This window comes from Homo sapiens, chromosome 4, assembly GCF_000001405.40.
Source record: "Homo sapiens chromosome 4, GRCh38.p14 Primary Assembly".
Lineage (NCBI taxonomy): Eukaryota > Metazoa > Chordata > Mammalia > Primates > Hominidae > Homo > Homo sapiens.
Genome location: NC_000004.12, coordinates 112163470 through 112186434, shown reverse-complemented (window position 1 = coordinate 112186434; position 22965 = coordinate 112163470). Strand labels below are relative to the sequence as shown.

Genomic DNA, 22965 nt, shown 5'->3' with positions numbered 1-22965 from the left:
TTTATGAGGCAAGGCCTGACTGCTCTGTCCTGGTAAGATTCTTTTTAGACGGTTCCTTTGACACTAAGACGTTAAGAAACCGAGCCTCAGATGACCAAAGCATGTTTGCTGTTATTATTGAGCAATCCTCAGCCACTACTGCTGTGATCTTTGTCTTAGGCTCAGCTAAGCAGACTTCAGCGCAGGCCCTTGCATAGTTTCCTGTTCATTATATAGATGCCCTAAATGCCTCTTATTAATTTCATCAGGAGAAACAAATAGTTTTAATACAAATTTTTTTTTTTTACAATAAGGCCAAATGTCTACCCAGTAGTTAGTATCCCAGAAAATGTCTACATGCACCCAATTATACATACCTAAAGTATTATTTCTATTATCTTCCACTTGTATTATAATTAAGGCCATGACAGTAAGCTACTGTCTCTTGGCTTCAAACCCACTCTTTGGAATTCTGCAAGCATTTCTGTCTCCCTGTTAGGCTCTGCCAATAGAGGGACCAGCGTGACACTTCACAGGTAGAGAAGGAAGAAGGAATTTGCTGTTTCCTTCGGATGGGTTTCTTAATCCTGTTAAGTCTCACTCTAGCAACAATTCTTCACTCCGACAGCAATAGTGCCTGCTAGTAGTAGCAGCTGATTGCAATTTGGGGGTTTTCCAACACTTGTAGAACCAATCTCAATGTGCCTTCTTGAGATGCCAGCTCCAATTACTGGGTGCTTCTTCCTCAGATACCTGGTTCCCAGGTCTATAGGCTCCCTCCTCTGAACTCAGAGAAATCAGTACCAGGCAAGCAGTGACCTGTTCTCAAAAGTCTGAATTTCAGTTCCATGGGGGCCTTTTTGAAGCTTCTCAGTTTCAGTAAGTCCATCCATCTCTTTTTCTTTCTGCCCAGTCCTATGAGTGGTTGTCTTGGTGATATTTTAGTGCAGTGGTTTTTAAACTTTAGCATGCGTTAGAATCCGCTGGAGGGCTTGTTAAAGCACAGCTTGCTGGGCCTACTACTAGAGTTTCTGATTCAGTAAGTCAGGGGTGAAGTTGGAGTCTGAGAATTTGCATTTCTAGGAAGTTTCTAGGTGATGCTTATGATGCTGATCTGGTGACCATGCTTTTCCAATACCCAGTTAACAATTACTTATATTAAATTATCTTTGTTAAAATAATTGGTATAGTTTCTCTCCCCCTCCCCACCGCCCCAGACCCTAGTAGAATCACAAAAGAAAAACTGTCATGTAGGTGAGATAATTATAATTTATTTAAATATATTTTATTTAGGAGGCATGATTCAAATAATTATTGAATTATTTGCTCATAGTATGTACATGATGGAGAATTTATTATACGTTTAAAAAGCCTTTAGATATAGGGCTTCACATAATAAGTATTAAATACCATTAAGTATGCCGTATAGGCCAAAGGAAAGCAAAATTAATTATCTTATAAGGGAGTGTCACAAAATCATCTGCCACAAACAGCCAATGAATTTGAGGAAATTTTAAGACATTCTTCAAACATCTGAATCAAACTTACATTCTTTTAGTAGAAACCAAAGCTTGATCATTTCAGTCATCGATCAGTAAATAATTAAAAATATTTTTTTCATTAAAGAAATGGCTATATGAAGCCTTATTTTCTATTGTACACATAGAGTTTAAAATAAATCTTTAAGGGAAGAGTGAAAAAAAATCTAACTTTTGTTTAAAATAGAAAATCAGACAAAATGATTTTCAGTATGACTTTAAGAAATGGGCTTTTCCCATATACTAGTAATTTATGTACAGTAATGAGTACCAAGGGGGACTGATGAGGTAGTAGAAAAATGAGACTCACTGGGGCATCTTTGTTGAGTCTACATCATGTGTTCAAGCCAGATTTACTTTTGAGCTATACTTTTATATAATTTTTTTTTTTGAGACAGTTTCTTTCTTGTTGCCCAGGCTGGAGTGCAATGGCACAATCTCGGCTCACTGCAAACTCCACCTCACACTTCAAGCAATTCTCCTGCCTTAGCCTCCCAAGTAGCTGGGACTACAGGCATGCACCACCATGCCTGGCTAATCTTTTGTATTTACTAGAGACAGGGTTTCACCATGTTGGTCAGACTGGTCTTGAACTCCTGGCCTCAGGTGATCCACCTGCCTTGGCCTCCCAAAGTGCTGGAATTACCAGCGTGAGCCACTGTGCCCGGCCTATTTTATATAATTTTTAAAATTACTTTTGGATTTTCACTTCTATCAGAAAAAGAGTGAGAAGAACAAAATGTTGTAGAGTTATCTAGGGAGTTCACATCCAGGCTGCAACACTTTAACTGAGTGACATGACCTTAGCCAAATTACTTCACTTTTCCTGAACTTCAGTTTTCTAATCCATAAAATGATTTATGTGATCCTTTTTTGATACTGATAGTTTTCTCTTAAGTTATAATTTGTGGATCTTTTCTTTTTTTAAAAAATTGATTTCTAAATTATTTTTTCCTTCACTGATATATTATGACTGGGTCAATTTTATGTTTCTTGTACTTTGATATGATCCATAACAATATACTACATTTTAAAAAAACCCTTATTCTTGCCTAATATTAAAGCTTTCTTTTCTTTAGGGTAGAACTTGAAGAGTCCTCGATTTAGTATGTAATTCTGCTGATCCCTCATCCCTCTCTATTTCTCCAGTGTTCAGCATGTTGATACTGTTTCTGGCCTTTTTTTCTTCATTTTTTATTAAAGTTCTTAAAAAAATTTTTTTTTTTACTCTTCCCAATTTCTTGTAATCTATGCACTCATTGTACTTTGGGGTTTTTTTTGTTGTTACTGAAGCTTTTTAAGACTTTTTTTTTCAGTATTTTTGTGGTTTTAGTACGAAGAAAGTACCCTAATCTGGATGTGGTAGGTACTGTCTGAAGGTTTAAATTCTTTGTAAAATAAATTAAATCTACAAATGCTTGTGGGTTTTTCAGGGGAAGAAGGAGGTGTTGCAACACTTAAATCAAAACAGAGAGTTAGTAAATCAGGCCAGGCGAGGAGACAGCAATGCTCACATTATCTCAGATCTTGAGATCAGCTGGTGGGATTGAGACTGGAAGCTGAAGACCCAGTAAGGACAGGTCTGGGCAAGCTGTGGCTGTTGCAGCCTGCTTCTTCTTCTTTTTTTTTAATTATAAAAAAATTTAAGCACACACAAAACTAGAGAAAATAGTATAATAAACCTATATACGTATCAACCAGATTCAGTAATTTCTAAAACTTTGCCACCTTACTGAAATACTTCTTAATCTGGGTAATCTGATGAAGAAGAAAAAAGTTTAAAAAAAAATCACTAGGCTAATGCCTAAAAGTAACATATCTTCACAAATGAAGTTCTGTAGAAACATCAAATATATCCAGCAATGAATTGGATAGGGGGTTCAAACAACCCTAAAGGAAGACATTTAAGAATGTGGAAAGGGTGTCAGTTTCCAGGCAGGCAAAAGAAAAAAAAAAAAAGAACGTGGAAAAGGAAAATGATCAATATTCTTCAATCAGTGAGATTATAGTCAATCTCATTACAGTATTTTATGTATCTAGGATATCCTCTCAAATAACACAGTTCTAAAGGATACAAAGACTGGTGTGTTGGTAAATGTTTAACAATGGGCTTTGTTGGGGGTTGGGGGAAGCTCTATTTTACAGCGTTTGCCAATTCTGTTGTGATTTCCAATTTCTGTAGTGTTAGTACTTCCACTGTGGCCAATTTCAAACTATTAACAGCCAGCTCAAAAAGTTCCTGAAAATTTAACAACTTGCTCTTTGACGATTGGTAGGAGCCAGCACCAGCACTTCACTGTAGGAATAAGAGATACTTGAAATAAGTTGAGGTAAAGGCCTGCACGGTTATAGTCGATGAGTTTGATCCCTCCCTTCTTTCCACCAACTGGTGCATTTCTATTTTTTTTTTTTTAAGTTTACAACATTGACAAGCTGAGATAATTAAGTAGAATTAACTTATTACAAATATATTGCAAGTGGGTAAATTGTATTAAGAAAGGACTATATTATGACTTGAGTTATGAGATACAATGAAATGCATGTGGTGTCACAAAACTACTACAAGTAACAACATATTGCTTTTTCTGGATTGTCTCATGCAGCTATCAAAAGGTCATCCGATTCAATTATTTTTAGAAGTTCTTGTTTACAATAAAATTTAAACCATCTGGCTGATTTGTGAGGACGAGGGCTCTCTTGATGCTCCCTAGGTCAGTGAATGGTACCACCATCCATATGCCACATCCAAAGGTCAGAACTCTAAGGCATTCTTGACCCCCTCCCTCTCCCTCTTCCCCATGACCCACATCCAGCTCATCACCATATTCTCTTTGTTTTACCTTCTAAGTATTTCTTTAAAGTGTATATACTATTCCATCTACTGCTATAATCCTAAGAGTCTACTAAGATCTCTTGACTATTCCAATAGTTTCCTAACACTGCTACTGCACAAGTCCATTAGCTCCCCTATAATCTATATACCACAATGTAGCCACAGTGGTTCTTTCCAAGTGCAAATTCAATCATGCCACCTCCATCCTGCTTTTAGGATTAAGGCCAAAATCTTTAACATGATCTATGAGGCCCTGCTTAGTCTGGCTTCTATCTGGGTCTCTGGCCTCATTCTGTCATCAGCCTTCCTGTCTTTATTTCAGCCACAGAGGTCTTTCAGCTCTTGCTCGCCACAGGGATTTGCACGTGCTCTTTTCTCTGCTCAAAAAACTATTTCCTCTCTCCTTTGCTTAGTTAAGGCATCCTCTCCTTTTGGTCTTAGCTTAAGCTTCAACTCAGTCTCACAGCATCAGGTAATGCTCTTTCAATGCATTCTGACTCAATGCCAATGTGTGTCATTATTTGATTAATGTCTACCTGTACTATAAACTTCATGAACTAGGAACAGTATTTATTTTTGCTGGCCACTGATATCCTCTGATATGAATATGTAGCAAACGCTATGTCCTGAAAATAGCAGCATATAGAAACATCTCAATAAATATTTGTTGAATAAACAGGAAGAAATTATCATGTATTTTTCTGGCAGGCATTAGAGAAGTATTTGATAGATTTTCTACTTTGCTCCTTTTTTTTTTTGGCCAAACCAAAGATGGGCACTATTTTCCAAAATATTATTTACTACAGTAATCTGAAAACAATGTACATATTTTTATGGGATTAGCAGTATTTCTGTTGTGGACATTACTTAGCATCCAGTCTTCTTTCCTCTTCCCTATTAGAACCTTAAATCCAGCCTTCATTCTTCAGGTGAAGTGAATTCTACCTACTCAGTTCCAGAGATGATTCTAAGAGTAATTTTCTCTTTACTAGAGCTAGTTTTGGAAAGGGTATGTGATCCACTTTGGAACAATGACTTTTGCATGTCTTTTGAAAAAATTATTCCTAGCTCTTCTGGGTCAACTTTGGAAAGTGATCCTTATTTTCTTTTATTTCTCCACATATACTCCTCAAGTAAAGAGAACTTGTACTTAATATTAGTTTTCTATTGCTTCCATAAGAATTATAAAGGTAATGGTTTAAAACAACACAAATGTATTATCTTACAGTTCTGTCTATTAGAAGTCATGTTGGCAGGACTGAATTTCTTCCTAGAGGCTCAAGAGAATCTATTTCCGTACTTTTCCAGTTGCTAGAGCTGCCCACATTCCTTGGCTCCTCTTCTTTCATCTTCAAAGCTAGCAGTACTGCACCTCTTTGACCATTCTTCAGTAGTTAACATTTTCCTCTGACTACAGTGAAAAAAAGTTTTTTTTTTAAATTTAGAAACTTTTATAGCAATTTTATACCACATCATTTTTACTATATTTTACAAATGTATCAGTCAGCAATGAACTGAAAAACAAAAACCTAGCTTTTCGCCACCTTTTGAGAAACACTGGTATAATGAACACCTGTATTTTTTACTGCCTACATTTAACTGTTGTTAACAAACACAGAGAAATATAGAATTCTTCATAAATACTGTATAAAGAGGACACAAAATTAGGGGCCTCAAAAGTTTTAATTTTAAATTATTTCTTTAGCTCTTTTAAAAATACTTTCAACTTTTATTTTAGATACAGGAGGCACATGTGCAGGTTTGTTACAAGGGTATACTGCATGATGCTGAGGTTTGGGGTATATATTCCATCACTCAGGCAGTGAGCATAGTACCCAATAGGTAGTTTTTCAACCCACACTCCACTTTCTTCCTCCACCCTCCAGTAGTCCCCAGTGTCTACTGTTGCCATCCTTATGTCCATGAGTACCCAATGTTTAGCTCCTACTTATAAGTGAGAACATGTGGTATTTGGTTTTCTGTTTCTGCATTAATTTGGTTAGGATAGTGGTCTCCAGCTGTATTCATGTTGACTGCTACAAAGGATATGACTGTTTTTTTTTTAGGGCTGTGCAGTATTACATAATATATATACATTATGTAATATATGTGATATATATATATACACACACACACACACATATACATATATATATATATATATATATATCACATTTTCTTTATGCAATCCACCATTGATGGGCACCTAGGTTGATTCTGCCTTTGCTATTGAGAATAGCACTATGATGAACATATGAGAGCATGAGTCTTTTGGTAAAACGATTTATTTTATTTGGGTATATATGCAGTAATAGGATTGCTGGGTCAAATGGTAGCCCTGTTTGAAGTTCTTTTTTTTAATATATATATATATTTTATTATACTTTAAGTTCTAGGGTACATGTGCACAACGTGCAGGTTTGTTACATATGTATACATGTGCCAGGTTGGTGTGCTGCACCCATTAACTCGTCATTTACATTAGATATATCTCCTCATGCTATCCCTCCCCCTTCTCCCCACCCCACTACAGGCCCCTGTGTGTGATGTTCCCCTTCCTGTGTCCAAGTGTTCTCATTGTTCAATTCCCACCTATGAGTGAGAACATGCGGTGTTTGGTTTTTTGTCCTTGCGATAGTTTGCTGAGAATGATGGTTTCCAGCTTCATCCATGTCCCTACAAAGCACATGAACTCATCATTTTTTATGGCTGCATAGTACTCCATGGTGTATATGTGCCACATTTTCTTAATCCAGTCTATCATTGTTGGACATTTGGGTTGGTTCCAAGTCTTTGCTATTGTGAGTAGTGCTGCAATATTGGACCTAAAACCATAAAAACCCTAGAAGAAAACCTAGGCAATACCATTCAGGACATAGGCATGGGCAAGGACTTCATGTCTAAAACACCAAAAGCAATGGCAACAGAAGCCAAAATCGACAAAGGGGATCTAATTAAACTAAAGAGCTTCTGCACAGCAAAAGAAACTACATCAGAGTGTTTGAAGTTCTTTGAAAAATCTCCAAACTGCTTTCCACAGTGGCTGAACTAATTTATATTCCCACCAATAATGTATAAGCATTCCCTTTTCTCCACAGCCTCGCCAGCATCTGTTTTCTGACTTTTTAGTAACAGCCATTCTGTCTAGTATGAGATGGTATCTCATTGTGGTTTTGATTTGTATTTCTCTCATGAGTGATGATGAGCATTTTTTCATGGCCGCTTTTATGTCTTCCTTTGAGAAGTGTCTGTTTATGTCCTTTGTCCTTTTAAAAATCGTGTTATTTGTTTTTTGCTTGTTGATTTAAGTTTCTTACATATTCTGTATATTAGACCTCTGTCAGATGTATAGTTTGTGGAAATTTTCTCCCATTCTGTAGGCTGCCTGTTTACTCTGTTGATAGTTTCTTTTGCTGTGCAGAAATTCTTTAGTTTAATTAGGTCCCACTTGTCAATTTTTGTTCTTGTTGCAATCGCTTTTGGGGGCTTAGCCAAAAATTCTTTGCCAAGGCCGATGTTGAGAAGGGTATTTCCTAGATTTTCTTCTAGGATAGTCTGAGGTCTTACATGTAAATATTTTGATCTTTGACAAAGCAGACAAAACAAGCAATGGGGAAAGGACTCCCTATTTAATGGTGTTGAGGACTCCCTATTTAATTGGCTAGTCATATGCAGAAGAATGAAACTGGATCCCTACCTTTCACCATATACAAGAATTAAGTCAAGACAAATTAAAAGTTCTCTGTATTTAAGAACCCATGTGAAATCAGTTTGATCCACCTGGATAATTAGGATACTCTCCACATCTCAAAGTCCTTAAATTTAATCACATCTGCAAAATTCCTTTTGCCATGTAAGATATCATATTCTCTGGTTCTGAGGATTAAGATGTGGACATCTTTGGAGAGACCATTATTGTGCCTAGCATAGTATTTTGCTATAAAATTATTTCTTTATATATCTATTTTCTGTCACTAGCTTTGAACCCACTAAGGGTATTAAGGGCAAGAAACATGTCTTACAAATTTTACATTAGTACTTTGTATATTGCACTATGCCTGGCCCATCATAGACTCATAATAAGTATTTGCTGAAGGAACAATGGAAATATTCTACAATAACATACTATGCAAAAAACCCACCAAAATTTAAAACAAAGAAAACTTAAATGTAATATCAATATTCATTATATTCTCCCATGAGCATAGTTGTGAATTTTTCAATATTTTTGAAATATTTATAAATTCTAGACTAAATTACAGAATATGACAGCTGCTAGCTAAAATTTACATGCTCGGCATAATTCCTAACCCACTGCGTTTTAAGAGCAGACACTAATACGTACAGATGAGCTCTTGGGGGTCTGATTCTCTCTCAAGATGCTTGTAATTTTCAGAGTAATAGCAGTGGTAGTGCTATTAATGGTAGAGTAGGAAAGCCAACCCAAGTGCCTCCTATGTAACATGCATTGTGTTTTACATGCATTATCTTGTTTGATCTTTGCAACAATCTGTAAAGGAGGCACTATTATTTCCCCCCATTTATAGATAAGGAAACTGTAAAGTTTAAGAGGAATTAAATGTCTGGACACTGACCTATACTTAGTAATTGAAAGATCTATGATGTGAACCTGGTTATTCTTACTCCAGGGGACTCACCATTAATCCCTATACTGTACACACCCTCCAGTTATTATTACATTAATAGCTAACATCTAGTTAATGCTGCTTAGTTTTCAGAGACATTTTATGTATTCCACCTCTGAAAAGATAAGCTATATAAATACACTTTCATTTTACACAGAATGAATACATTTTACACAGCAAAATGAGTATCACTATCTTTTTTCCTTTACATCTTTTCTCACAGTTTACAGAATACCTAAAAGTATTCAAGCAGAAAAGTTGCTCAAATTCTCATTTTCATCCTGTACAAAAATTTAAGTAAAGCTATTTGCAGCAAGTTAGTACATTTTCATGCTTTTAAAAGTAGTAATGAATTCAGATTCAAATGTGAAAAAAAAGGCTCGGCAAGAATGAAGAGATATGTGGTTGGCAGAATTGCAATAAGACAACAAACAAAAAACCTCCCCAACAAACAATAAGCAAACCCATAAGACTTCACATATAAACCAGTACATGAGTGCAGAAATATAGATGGAGCTTTTTTTTCCTGTTCTATCGTTAATCACTTTTGTCTTTGCCAAAATTTATTCTTTGTATGTGAGGTCCCAATGGAAAAACATTTGTCAAATGTACAGTTTCCTTTGTGGTTATACAGAGAGTACTGACTATGACATGCACACGAAGAGTGTTCTCACCAAAGCAGTGATACTCTTTTTTTGGTCCATGATTAAAGACATACATAAAAATAGAGGGGTGTTCTAACTGATTCAAAATCCTTCTTAAAAGATACCCCAAATTAATGATGAGAAATTAAAGGTAAACCCTTAAGTAATCACTGGATTTTTGAGAAGCATCTTCAAAGATAATTAAAGCACAGTCTCTTACTTTAGAAATTAGGAATGAAGAGGTTAAGTCCCATAGCCCATTAACAAAAAACCAAGGCTTTCGTAGCAAACAGGACAGATTCAAATCCTGCTCCGTCATGTATCAGCTGTGTGACATTGGGCAAATTACTTAACCACTGACTCTCAGTTTCTTCACCCATAAAATGTGTATAATAATACCTACTTTAGAGTTGTTGTGATAAGAAAACAGATAAAACCTTTTTGAATAAGCACTCAATATATGGTAATTATTATTACTCTATTTTTGGCAGAATTTATATCTTGTGATTTTTACTTCTATTCTCTATTGTACCATGCTGCCTGAGATAATTAATGCCTTAGTGATTATCTTTCTCATGATAATTAAGTTCAGTTGTATTTTTTCAAGTGTTACGACAATTTAATTATATAGAAATTGAAGTGGGATGTTTTCTATGGAACATCTCTACCCACAGAACAATTTGTGCACGTTAATATTGGTAGAACCTGTTTACTCACTTTGGAAAGGGCACAAGCTACATTCTATAAATAGGCTTTTGCTGAGTGAGTTGACGATTTAAGATTCACTTATAACTGTCTTCCTGTGTCCAGTATTACATGTTGTTGTGTTAATGCATATCATTACATATGCAGTATTGAAAGTCTGCTGTTTTTGCCTGTCTAGTATATATACCATATATTCTACTTGATTTAACTTTGGGGAAACCATACTTTACCTGCTTTTAGTCCACGTGTTGGTTGAAGATGTCTCCATTCCCCAGCTCCAAGCCTGCCCAATAAGAACATTTCATTTTCTTTCTTTTTTTTTTTGAGATAGTCTCGCTCTGTTGCCCAGGCTGGAGTGCCATGGCATGATCTCGGCTCACTGCAACCTCTGCCTCCCGGGTTCAAGCGATTCTCCTGCCTCAGCCTCCTGAGTAGCTAGGATTACAGGCACCTGCCACCACACCTAGCTAATTTTCGTATTTTTAGTAGAGATGGGGCTTCACCATGTTGGCCAGGCTGGTCTCGAACTCCTGACCTCAGGTTATCCACCCACCTCAGCCTCCCAAATTGCTGGGAGTACCGGTGTGAGCCACCACACCCGGCTGAACATTTCATTTTCTTGGGAACGTAAATGTAACTCAAGACAGGCCAATGAAAGCTCTAGCCAAGACTTTTACTGCAACTATTGAAAAAGAGACAGGTTTTTTCTGTGTTGTTTTTGTTTTTGCTTGAGAAAAAAACAAACAAACTGTAGTTAGATAGCTGGTGAGTTGTAGGCCATCATATTACTAGGGGGGAAAGCTTGCTAAGAACAAAGCCAACATAAAGTAAAGCCAAGAAATGGATAGAGACGGTTTCATTGACATAATTTAAGTACTCAGATATAGCTAGCATATCTACTTTTGGTCTTTTTCATAACGTAAGCCAATAAATTCCTATTTTCCAAAATCTAGTAGGAGTTGGATTTTTGTCACTTGAAACCAAGAATTCTGACTATAGATGATGATAATAATAATAGCTACCACTAATCAGAATTCACCCATCTGCTAGATATTGTGGTAAGCACTTTACACATTCAGCCAGGGACTAGTAGCTTGGAGATTCCCACTCTAGCAACTGACAGAGAAATGCCTTGGGCATATACACAGTTTTTCAGACTGCCAGGGATGACAGTGATGTCACTTTAAAGCCTGGTTTCCAAGGAGTAAGGGGTCAGAATAGTTTATTGTTCAATTGGTTTCAGTCAGATGTTGAATTTAAGCCCCTTGTGCCATTGAGGCTATTGTCCTGTGTTGATGGGTCTATGTACAGCATGGAGAATGCTTTCAAGTCTACCCCGTATCCTACCATAATTGCTCCTGAGAGGGTGCAGCCTAGCACATGAGCCCTGCTTTCTCGAATTCTCACAGTTGACTTTGATCCCAGGAAGGCTCTTCTTGGCTCCTTCCTTGGTTCTCTCTTTAAAACTTCTGGCTGCTGTGTTGTTTTGACGGTGCCACTAGTAATATGTTTTGATATATTATGGAGCTATCAGCCTCCTATTAATTGCTCTTCACCAAGATCTGTATTGCTTTCAACAACAAACTTAGCCCGGAAAGTTCTCCATTCCCTTTCCCAAGTAAACAAAGTCCTCTCAGGGAAATCTATGGAGCTCTTCACTCACCGGCTTCAGCCACCCAAAGTGCTGGGATTACAGGCGTGAGTCACCGTGCCCAGCCAGATCTGCCTTTCCTCCTGGGCAGGGCTCCTGCACCATTGCACCATTCCCTGGGGTGACACCCTGCTGTAAAATTAGACACTTGAGGTTGGGGAGCAGCCCCTGGTTTTCTGGGTTACCTCTCCTGGGAGGGAACCTCTGCCCTACAGTGAGTGCAGGGAGGGGAAGGTGGGCCTCCGTGTTCTGGACTTGCTGTGCCTCGCTTAGAGACTGGTTAGGGGAAGAGAGACTTGGTTGTCTCAGCTATACCTACCTGGAATTGAGATTCCACAACATGGAGCTAGGAGGAGGAGGGGCAGAGAGCTGAAAAACACCAGAGGCCTACTCCTCCAGGGTGAAACTGCAGCCTGAGATTTAGTATATTTTCTTGAATGAATAATTCTCTATTTGCTGTATACCTTGAGGATGGTTCTTGGAGACTTTAAAAGACTTTTATTTTGTTTTGCTCCATAATTTTCAACAGTTAAATTGCTGCTTTGCTGAGGAGACAGTCTGCTGAATTCCTTACCTCATTGTTCTGGAAGCCCTACCTTGGTTATTTCTGGACATTACTTTTGATGGTGAACTGTGAGACAACTTCTGTGAGGCTGAATCAGAGGACGCTGTATGGTAGGTAGCTAGTTCTCTGGAATCAGTCCTGGGACCGTGAGCACCTTCAAGAGTGTTTATTATTCTTCACATGTACTGTGATCAAACTCTCAGTATAAAAGTTTGACTTATAAGGATCCATTTAATCAGGCAGTTCTTACTAACATTAAAAAAAGGCTTTAAATATATATTTGAAGTTAAATGAATTTTAAAATGGCTCCCTTTTTCTCCTTCTTCACTATCCTTTCACACATATCATTAAGTGGGCAATTTTCCATCATTGTGCAGTAGCCTACCATGTACTTTAGCTGGTAATTAACTCATTTTTTCATTAAGCCTAAAGAAAGTTAACCAGAAACCCAAATCTCAGAATAGTCAGTCCTGTTTTTTCCTTAGTTGCTTTCAATACATTAAATGTCACACTCAAACCTATTTTTTAGAAAAACTTTTAGCACAATTAAAATACTTTCTATCATTATTTATAACTCTCTGGGGAAGTTCTTAAAAAATGTAGAAATATAAAAAGTAAATCAAGAATGCTCTGTAAACATTAAAATGGTCTCCTCCTTCTATGGCCCACATTAAATCTCTGGCAGGGCTGGGCATAGTGGCTCACACCTATAATCTCAGCACTTTGGGAGGCCAAGGTGGGCAGATCATTTGAGTTCAGGAGTGCAAGACCAGCCTGGGCAACATAGTGAGACCCTGACTCTACAAAAAAATACAGAAGTTAGCGGGGTATGGTGGTGTGTGCCTGTAGTCCCAGCTGCTCAGGAGGCTGAGGTAGGAAAATAGCTTCAGCCCAGGAGGCAGAGGCTGCAGTGAACCAAGATCGCACCACTGCACTCCAGCCTGGGTGACAAGGCCAGACCTTGCCTCAAAACAAACACAAAATATCTGGCAGCCCAGAAAGAAAAAAACAGCAAATAAATAAACATATTAACGCATAAATGAACAAATAAAACTATGTTGTCATTTATATTCAGCATAACATTTATAATTATTTGGCTTTAAAAACACTTTAGAACCAATTCAACAAACATTTTTTCTGGTACCTATAAAGTATTAGATAAGTAATATTACATCCTTAACTTTGAGAAGCTAACAATCTAGTGTGGAGGTTAACATTTATAAACAAATACATATATTTTAAGGCAAAATGTGATCAACATTTAAGAGCTGCAAAATGCTTGGCATTTAGTTCAAAAAAGGTCAATTTGGTCATAAACTAAATCAAAAGAATTGGCAAAAAACCCACTAATGCACTGCTTTCAAATATTTAAATGATGTTTTTAAAAATGATATGGTGTGTTTAACTGCTTCTGTATTATTATATAAAAGGATAGCTGGTTATAGCACTGATAAACCACAAACCGATTCTGTGGTTTACAAAACATCTTCACTTCAGAATTTAGTCACCTGCAAAGACTGATTTCTTGCTTTGTATTCCTCTTCATCTCAAAGGTTATCCCTATGTAGATATGCTCTGAAATATGTAAGCCTTGAAAACAACAAGCAATGTTTAAATGAAATTTTTAACTTATTTCATGACACATTTATTAATTTAAAAAATGAACACTAATTGAATAGTATGTGTTGGGCAATGCTTTAAGTACTATGATCTTCAAAACATAAAGGAAACTGAGGAAGAGAGATTATGTAATTTAGTCAAGATCCCTTAGTAATTGGTGGAATCTAGACACATTCAGGCAATCTGGCTCTAAAGCCTATGTTCTAAAGCCTACACTATAGGCTTTGTTATAAATATAAAATCAATCTTGTGATGATTCACATTCTAATTGTTTCAATGTATCAGTTTTTAAAAGCAGTTTAGTTATACTTGTCTTGATTCACTTACATCAGCAAAAATAATACTTTTTTTGAATATAAACTCAAGATTTTTTTTTGTTTTTGTTTTTGTTTTTTGAGACAGAGTCTCACTCTGTCACCCAGGTTGGAGTGCAGTGGCGCGATCTCGGCTCACTGCAACCTCCGCCTCCCAGGTTCATGCCATTCTCCTGCCTCAGCCTCCTGAGTAGCTGGGACTACAGGCGCCCGCCACCATGCCTGGCTAATTTTTTATATTTTTAGTAGAGACGAGGTTTCACCGTGTTAGCCAGGATAGTCTCGATCTCCTAACCTCGTGATTCGCCCGCCTCGGCCTCCCAAAGTGCTGGGATCACAGGCGTGAGCCACCGCACCCGGCCATAAACTCAAGATTTTATAGTCTTCATAATAAAACAAAAGATGACACTTAGAACTGAATCACTTGGGCCTTTCTTTCCTTATCTCCTCCCAGTTCAAAATGCTTGCATCTTTTAATAGCCAGCATTCTCTTAGATCTGCAGTTGGCTCAACACACTCAAGCCTTAGCACAATCATCTTTGTAGTTTTATTTCCAGAAAATTGGCTTAGCTTGTCCCCCATAGTCACTCTGCTTCTTGTCGTAACACCGCTTTCCCTGGGCATACAGAGAATCCTTGCCCTTCTTGTACTGTGTCATTTTGTGGGGTTGGTGCTTGCCACACTTCGTACAGAAAGTCCAGTGGGTTTTAGGAATGTTTACCATGTTTGCAGGAGTGCTATCGGCACAGAAAGAAAGTAAAAATAATAATTTTAAAATGGTTTTGTGGTTTTTGCATTTTTTTTCCTGTACAATAACAGTTTCTTGTTTTATACACACATCTGGCTCACTGTAGTATAGCACCTGGTCTCAATTGTCATACTTACTATTTGACCAGGATTTTAAAAATTTCATCTTTTCTTAAAAATAAAAAACAAAACCAATCTCTAACCTTTAATCCCATTCCTACCCCCAGAAGAAAAGAAAAACTATAGAAGTTGGCACAAAGACTAAGCACATTGAGCACTTCAAAAGTGGGCTTTTTTTTTTTTTTTCCTATTTTTAACTGTATCCAGTTAAGAGAGAAAATGTATCACATTTGGCCAGAAAATAACCACTTGTTTTCCCCTGAAATTTTCTTGCCTTCATACTACAGTAGTCCCCCTTATCCAGTTTCTCTTTTCCCAGTTTCAGTTAGCTGCAGTCAACTGTGGTCTGAAAATATTAAATGGAAAATTCCATAAATAAATAATTTGTAAATTTTAAATTGTGGGCCATTTTGAGTATAGTGATGAAATCTCACACCATCTTGCTCCATCCTGCTCGGGACATGACTCATGCTTTTGTCCAGTGTATCCATGCTGTTGACATGATCCACCCATTAGTCGCTTAGTAGTCACCTCAATTATCAGATCGACAGATCACAAGAAGGGTGACTATGATACAATAAGATTATTTTGAGAGAAAGAGAGACCACATTCATACAACTTTTATTACAGTATATTATTATAGTTGTTCTAATTTATTCTTATTGTTGTTAATCTCTTACTGTGTCTTTAACTTATAAATGAAATGTTATCATAGGTATGTACACACAGGAAAAACAGTATATATAGGGTTCAGTACTATCATCAATTTCAGGCATCCACTGGGGGTCTTAGAATGTATCCCCTGTGGATAAGGGGGGACTACTGTATGTGCTTAATAACTAAAAACAAAGAACAATGAACTTCTAACATGAGCAGAATGTGCTCCAACGATCATGGAAAGGCTGCCTTTATAGATAACTTAATTTTAAACTAAATTTAGTTATAGAGAAACCAAAAGAAGGAAGAAGAATGACAGAAAGAAATTAGTTTGTAGTGAGTCTCAGAGGGATTTTAGACTAAAAAATATTTTCTCGCCAAAAAACTGGAATTTTGTTCCACTTAATCCACTCTACCATCCCACTTAACCTCTCCAAAAAAAGGCTTTTTGAAAAATGCCTTGTTACCTTCTTATAAAAGGTCAGGAATCTCACATTTGTGAAACACAAGTAAGACATAGTATCATACAGAAAGGGAAGATAAACAAATACATGACAATACATACTAAGAAAGAAGCAGAATTTTAAAAGCCTCTGGATTAGTTATATATTTAGTCTTTTTGGCTTCTATTTTCTCCTTGCAGTTGAGAATACATAGTGTCTACCATTTCAACTACGAATTCATAGCTACGTTTTCTCCCCATGCCCTGACTTCCTACAGTCTCCAATTTCCCTGTTTCTTTTAGGCTGCTAAGTATTATTGGTAAAAATTGTGCTGAGATGCTTCACTATAAAATTATGTGTCTCAATGTTCCTGGCACTCCTTCCATACTCCCAAATTCTTTCAGTCACCTCTTGATAATTGTCCATCCAATTCCTGAGGATTGTTTTGGATCTTTCTCACTCTTTTGTTGTCTCTTTCTTAGAGGTGTTGCTATTTCTTTTTAAGATTAGCATTTACTCATAATCCCAAATCCTCTTATTCATGCACGCAAGTATAAAAATAGATTTTATACTGTAACATATACCTTTTCATTCCTAAAGCAAAATAAGCAAAATATAGATCCTGATTGGAACTGGATTAGTTTGTGTGTTTGATGAGTCACTTCCTTTTAGGACAAAACGAAGAAAAGCAATAATATTCAAAATCAGCGGCACCAGAAAGAATCTGAGGCACTAACTAGATGAGGACTGATTCTTAAAAACATTGAGTATATCACTGATGCCGCTCTTCTGGTAGTTTGGCCAGCATCTGTTGAAAGAATTATCAACATTCATGATTTTGTAAATACATCTTTTAAATTACATTTTAGGATAGGAGTTTTAAGTTTGTACCTAGCCCAAGGTAAAGTTATATGGAAGATTGAAGACTATTTTGCTTATGCTGTTATATCTTTTCCATATTATATTTAAAGAGTTAAACATGTAGGCATGACTAATAGAAGTATCCAAGGCTAGGTGCCATGGCTCACGCCTGTAATCTCAGCGCTCCAGGAGGCCGAGGCAGGCGGATTACTTGAGGTCAGGAGTTCAAGACCAGCCTGACCAACATGCTGAAACTCCGTCTCTACTAAACATACAAAATTAAGCTGGGTGTGGGGGTGCACACCTGTAATCCCAGCTACTTGGAAGGCTGAGGTGGGAGAATCGCTTGAATCCGGGAGGTGGAAGTTGCAATGAGCTGAGATCGCGCCATTGCACTCCAGCCTGGGCAACAACAGCCAAACACTGTCTCAAATTAAAAAAAAAAATCCAAATATAGGAACCATCCTTCTTAGAACTAAGTTTCCTTTAAAATTAACTTATCAATAATTTCTTAGTAAGATCTATAATGGAATTTTGTCTCATAGCAAAGTTAACAGTACTTATGAATCTAACAATTTTTCAAAAAGTTATGAAAATGCCATTTATATTTATTGTTTGGGAGTATATTGTTTCCTGTACAATAACAGCTTCTTGTTTTATATACTTCACTTTTTGTCAAACCCATTGACTTGGCTGATTTTTTTCTTTGGAGTTCTGAAATAACCACTGCTGTACCATTCTTATGAAATGAAATATCTATTAAGCTATCAATCATTTGGACTAAGTAGGGAAAAAAAGTTTAATTGCTTTTCATTATTTATAGAACTAAAGAGTCTGTAGGAATCTAGTCTTGTAGATAAAGAAAAGTGTGTGAATCTGTGACATTTCTTGTGAAAAAACTCTTTGAAAAACAGTGTATCTACATAAAGTCACCTTATTTCATAACAAAGTATATTAGTTGTTTTAACTTTAGGTGAATGGTGATATAGTGAAAATTACTAGAAGTTTTCTGCTTACTGTAATAAAGTTTGTGCTTACATGCCAAAGTTATGATCCTCTCCTCTCAGCAAGTTTTGCACCTGCATTTTATGCAAGATGTGCTGTGCCCTACTTGTGGCAAGCCTGCACAGACCTGACTGATTTGTCAGACTGATGGCTGCTTACTTTCAGGAAACCACACACTGGTTCTTGATGTCTGTCATGTTCTCCTTGAGAATCTTTGATTATTAAGCTCTAACTCAGATAATCACAATCCTTGATTCACAGAATAGGCTAGCTTGCAAAATAAATTACTTAGTCAATTTAGTTCAATTCAACAAATAATAATTGAATGCTTATCAAGAGTAAGGTTAAGTGCTGTGGGGTATACAAAATAATAACCCATGTTCCCTGCTATTAAACTGCTTAATATATAAAGATATGTACCCAAATTACCATATAAAACACTGCTGCACTATCCCTTCCTAATTAAAATGACCCATAAAAGATTCATGGTTTTCCTCTTATCTTTCAGAACATTACTTCTCAACTCAGGCAACTCTTCAGATCTCTAGAGTAGAATGCTCAACTACATATTCAACATTTCTACATGAATGTCTTAGAGAAACCTCAAATTCAACATGCCCAGTACCAAGTTCATAACCATCTGCTCTAAAATTGGTCTTCCTCCAGTATCCTCTGCCTCGATGAATGGCACAACCTGCAGTGCAAGCCAGAAGCCTACTAGTCACTCTAGGTGTCTTCATCTCCCTTTTTCTCTTTGGTCTACTTCCGCTGGCCCATTCCCTTCTGAGTTTAGTTAGAACTCCTTAGGGGCTTATCTATAGGGCATCTTATCTTTTTACTTTATGTTCTCTTCTGATGGAGAGTTCATCTTCTCTAATGATTTTTATTAATACTTATATAGTTTATATGCTGAAGATTCAATTTTTAAGTCATACCTTGGCCAAGAAAAAATTATTAGTATTTTTATTTTTTATTTTTATTTTTTTTTTTTTTGAGACGGAGTCTCGCTCTGTCGCCCAGGCTGGAGTGCAGTGGCGGGATCTCGGCTCACTGCAAGCTCCGCCTCCCGGGTTCACGCCATTCTCCCGCCTCAGCCTCCCAAGTAGCTGGGACTACAGGCGCCCGCCACTACGCCCGGCTAATTTTTTGTATTTTTAGTAGAGACGGGGTTTCACCATTTTAGCCGGGATGGTCTCGATCTCCTGACCTCGTGATCCGCCCGCCTCGGCCTCCCAAAGTGCTGGGATTACAGGCGTGAGCCACCGCGCCCGGCCAGTATTTTTAATATCTTCAGAAAAAAATCCTTGTAATTTTGATCTTTTTCCATCTTCCTTTGCTTATAGCCATTTGTTCAATAAACTATTAAACACATATATTCCAAAGCATTAGTTCCTCACAAAATCACAGTCAGGTGGGTGCTATTAGACTCCAGAGGTCTAACTGACACCAGAGGACTTCCCCCAAATCAGCCAGCCAGGATTTGAAAGCAGGAGTATTCTGACAACAAATTCTGAGCTCATTCCAATAAACTGTGGTACAGTTTATTGGAAAATTTCTTTTTCAGAAAACATGCTTTGCTGTAAATAACTACATTCTCCTTCTCAACCTCACCCCTTCACATCAAATAATCAAATTTCTAAATCTCTTATTGTAAAGGAGTTGAACCACATATTTAAAGGGAAGTAGAATAAACAAATTCATTTTAAGGTGTGAGTATATAATCTTCATTAAGAAATGTACTTTTAAAAAACATTTAAAAAAATTTTCCCAGCACTTTGGGAGGCCAAGGCAGGCGGATCACGAGGTCAGGAGATCGAGACCAGGAGATACAGACCATACTTGCTAACACTGTGAAACCCCGTCTCTACTAAAAAAAAAAAATACAAAAAAATTAGCCGGGTGTGGTGGGGGGCACCTGTAGTCCCAGCTACTCGGGAGAGGCTGAGGCAGGAGAATGGTGTGAACCCGGGAAGTAGAGCTTGCAGTGAGCCGAGATCACACCACTGCACTCCAGCCTGGGCGACAGAGCGAGACTCTGTCTCAAAAAAAAAAAAAAAAAATTCTGAGTACATAGTAGGTGTCTATATTTGTGGGGCACGAGATATTTTGATACAGGTATACAATGTGAAATAAGCACATCATGGAAAATGGGGTATCCATCCCCTCAAGCATTTACTTTTGTGTTACAAACAATCCAATTATACTTTTAGTTATTTTTAAATGTACAATTAAATTATTTTGACAACAATCACTCTGTTGTACTATCAAATACTAGGTCTCATTCATTCATTCCATTCTTTTTGTAACCATTAACCATCCTCACTTCCCCCTCACGCCCCACTACCCTTCCCAGCCTCTGGTAACCATCCTTCTACTCTCTACCTTCATGAGTTCAATTATTTTGATTTTTAGATCCCACAAGTAAGTAAGAATATGCGATGTTTGTCTTCCTGTGCCTGGCTTATTTCACTTAACATAATGACCTCCAGTTCCATCCATGTTGTTGCAAAAGACAGGACCTCACTCTTTTTAACGGCTGAATAGTACTCCCTTGGGTATAAGTACCACGTTTTCTTTATCCATTCATCTGTTGATGGACAATTAGGTTGCTTCCAAATCTTTGCTATTGTGAACAGTGCTATAACAAATATGAGAGTGTAGATATCTCTTTGAGATACTAATTTCCTTTCTTTTGGAGATATACCCAGCAGTGGGATTGCTAGGCTATATGGAAGCTCAATGTTTAGTTTTTTGAGGAACCTCCAAACTGTTCTCTCCATAGTGGTCATACTAATTTACATTCCCACCAACAGTATGAGGCTTCCCTTTTCTCCACATCCTCACTAGTATTTGTCATTGCCTGTCTTTTGGATAAAAGACATTTCAACTGGTGTGAGATGATATCTCATTGTAGTTTTGATTTGCATTTCTCTGATGCTCAGTGATGTTGAGCATCTTTTCATATGCCTGTTTGCCATTTGTATGTCTTGTTTTTGTTTTGCTTTTGAGACAGGGTCTCATTCTGTCATCCAGGCTGGAGTGCGGTGGTGCGATCACAGCTCACTGTAGTCTTGAAGGAACTCCTAGGCTCAGGTGATTCTCCCACCTCAGCCTCCCAAATAGCTGAGCCCATGCCTAGCTAGTTTTTTTGTATTTTTTGGAGAGATGGGGTTTCACCGTATTGCCCAGGCTGGTCTCAAACTCCTGAGCTCAAGTGATCTGCCTGCCTAGGCCTCCCAAAGTGCTGGGATTATAGGCGTGAGCCACGGCACCTGGCCTGTATGTCTTCTTTTGAGGAATGTCTATTTAAATATTTTGCCCATGTTAAAATTGAATTATTAGACATTTTTCCTATAGAGTTGTTTGAGCTCCTTATATATTCTGGTTATTAATCGCTTGTCAGGGTAGTTTACAAATATTTTCTCCCATTCTATGGGTTGTATCTTCACTTGATTGTTTCTTTTGCTGTGCAGAAGCTTTTTTTTCATTTTATTTTATTTTTTAAAATTATTATACTTTAAGTTCTAGGGTACATGTGCACAACGTGCAGGTTTGTTACATATGTATACATGTGCCATGTTGGTGTGCTGCACCCATTAACTTGTCATTTACATTAGGTGTATCTCCTAATGCTATCCCTCCCCTCTTCCCCACCCCACAATAGGTCCCGGTGTGTGATGTTCCCCACCTTGTGTCCAAGTGTTCTCATTGTTCAGTTTCCACCTATGAGTGAGAACATGCAGTGTTTGGTTTTCTGTCCTTGCGATCGTTTGCTCAGAATGATGATATCCAGCTTCATCCATGTCCTCACAAAGGACATGAACTCATCCTTTTTTTAAAAAAATTATATTTTAAGTTCTAGGATACATGTGCAAAATGTGTAGGTTTGTTACACATGTATACATGTGCCATGTTGGTGTGCTGCACCGATTAACTAGTCATTTACATTAGGTATATCCCCTAATGCTATCCCTTCCCCTTCCCCCCACCCCACAACAGGCCCCAGTGTGTGATGTTCCCCACCCTGTGTCCAAGGGTTCTCATTGTTCAATTCCCACCTATGAGTGAGAACATGCGGTGTTTGGTTTTCTGTCCTTGCAACAGTTTGCTCCGAATGATGGTTTCCAGCTTCATCCATGTCCCTACAAAGGAGATGAACTCATCATTTTTTATGGCTGCATAGTATTCCATGGTGTACATGTGCCACATTTTCTTAATCCAGTCTATCACTGATGGACACTTGGGTTGGCACCAAGTCTTTATAGCAGCATGATTTATAATCCTCTGGGTATAGACCCAGTAATGGGATGGCTGGGTCAAATGGTATTTCTAGTTCTAGATCCTTGAGGAATCGCCACACTGTCTTCCACAATGGTTGAACTAGCTTACAATCCAACCAACAGCGGAAAAGTGTTCCTATTTTTCCACATCCTCTCCAGCACCAGTTGTTTCCTAACTTTTTAATAATCGTCATTCTAACTGGTGTGAGATGGTATCTCATTGTGGTTTTGATTTGCATTTCTCTGATGACCAGTGATGGTGAGCATTTTTTCATGTGTCTTTTGGCTGTATAAATGTCTTCTTTTGAGAAGTGTCTGTTCATATCCTTTGCCCACTTTTTGATGGGGTTGTTTGAT

At 37.5% G+C, this 22965-nt stretch overlaps 1 protein-coding gene and 1 pseudogene across 1 annotated transcript in view; both read right to left on the bottom strand.

The window, feature by feature from the left end:
* FAM241A (family with sequence similarity 241 member A) overlaps nt 1-22965 on the bottom strand; it is a 49803-nt gene that overhangs the window by 8822 nt on the left and 18016 nt on the right. The window lies entirely within an intron of this gene.
* Nucleotides 14857-15252, bottom strand: RPL36AP19 (ribosomal protein L36a pseudogene 19; annotated as a pseudogene).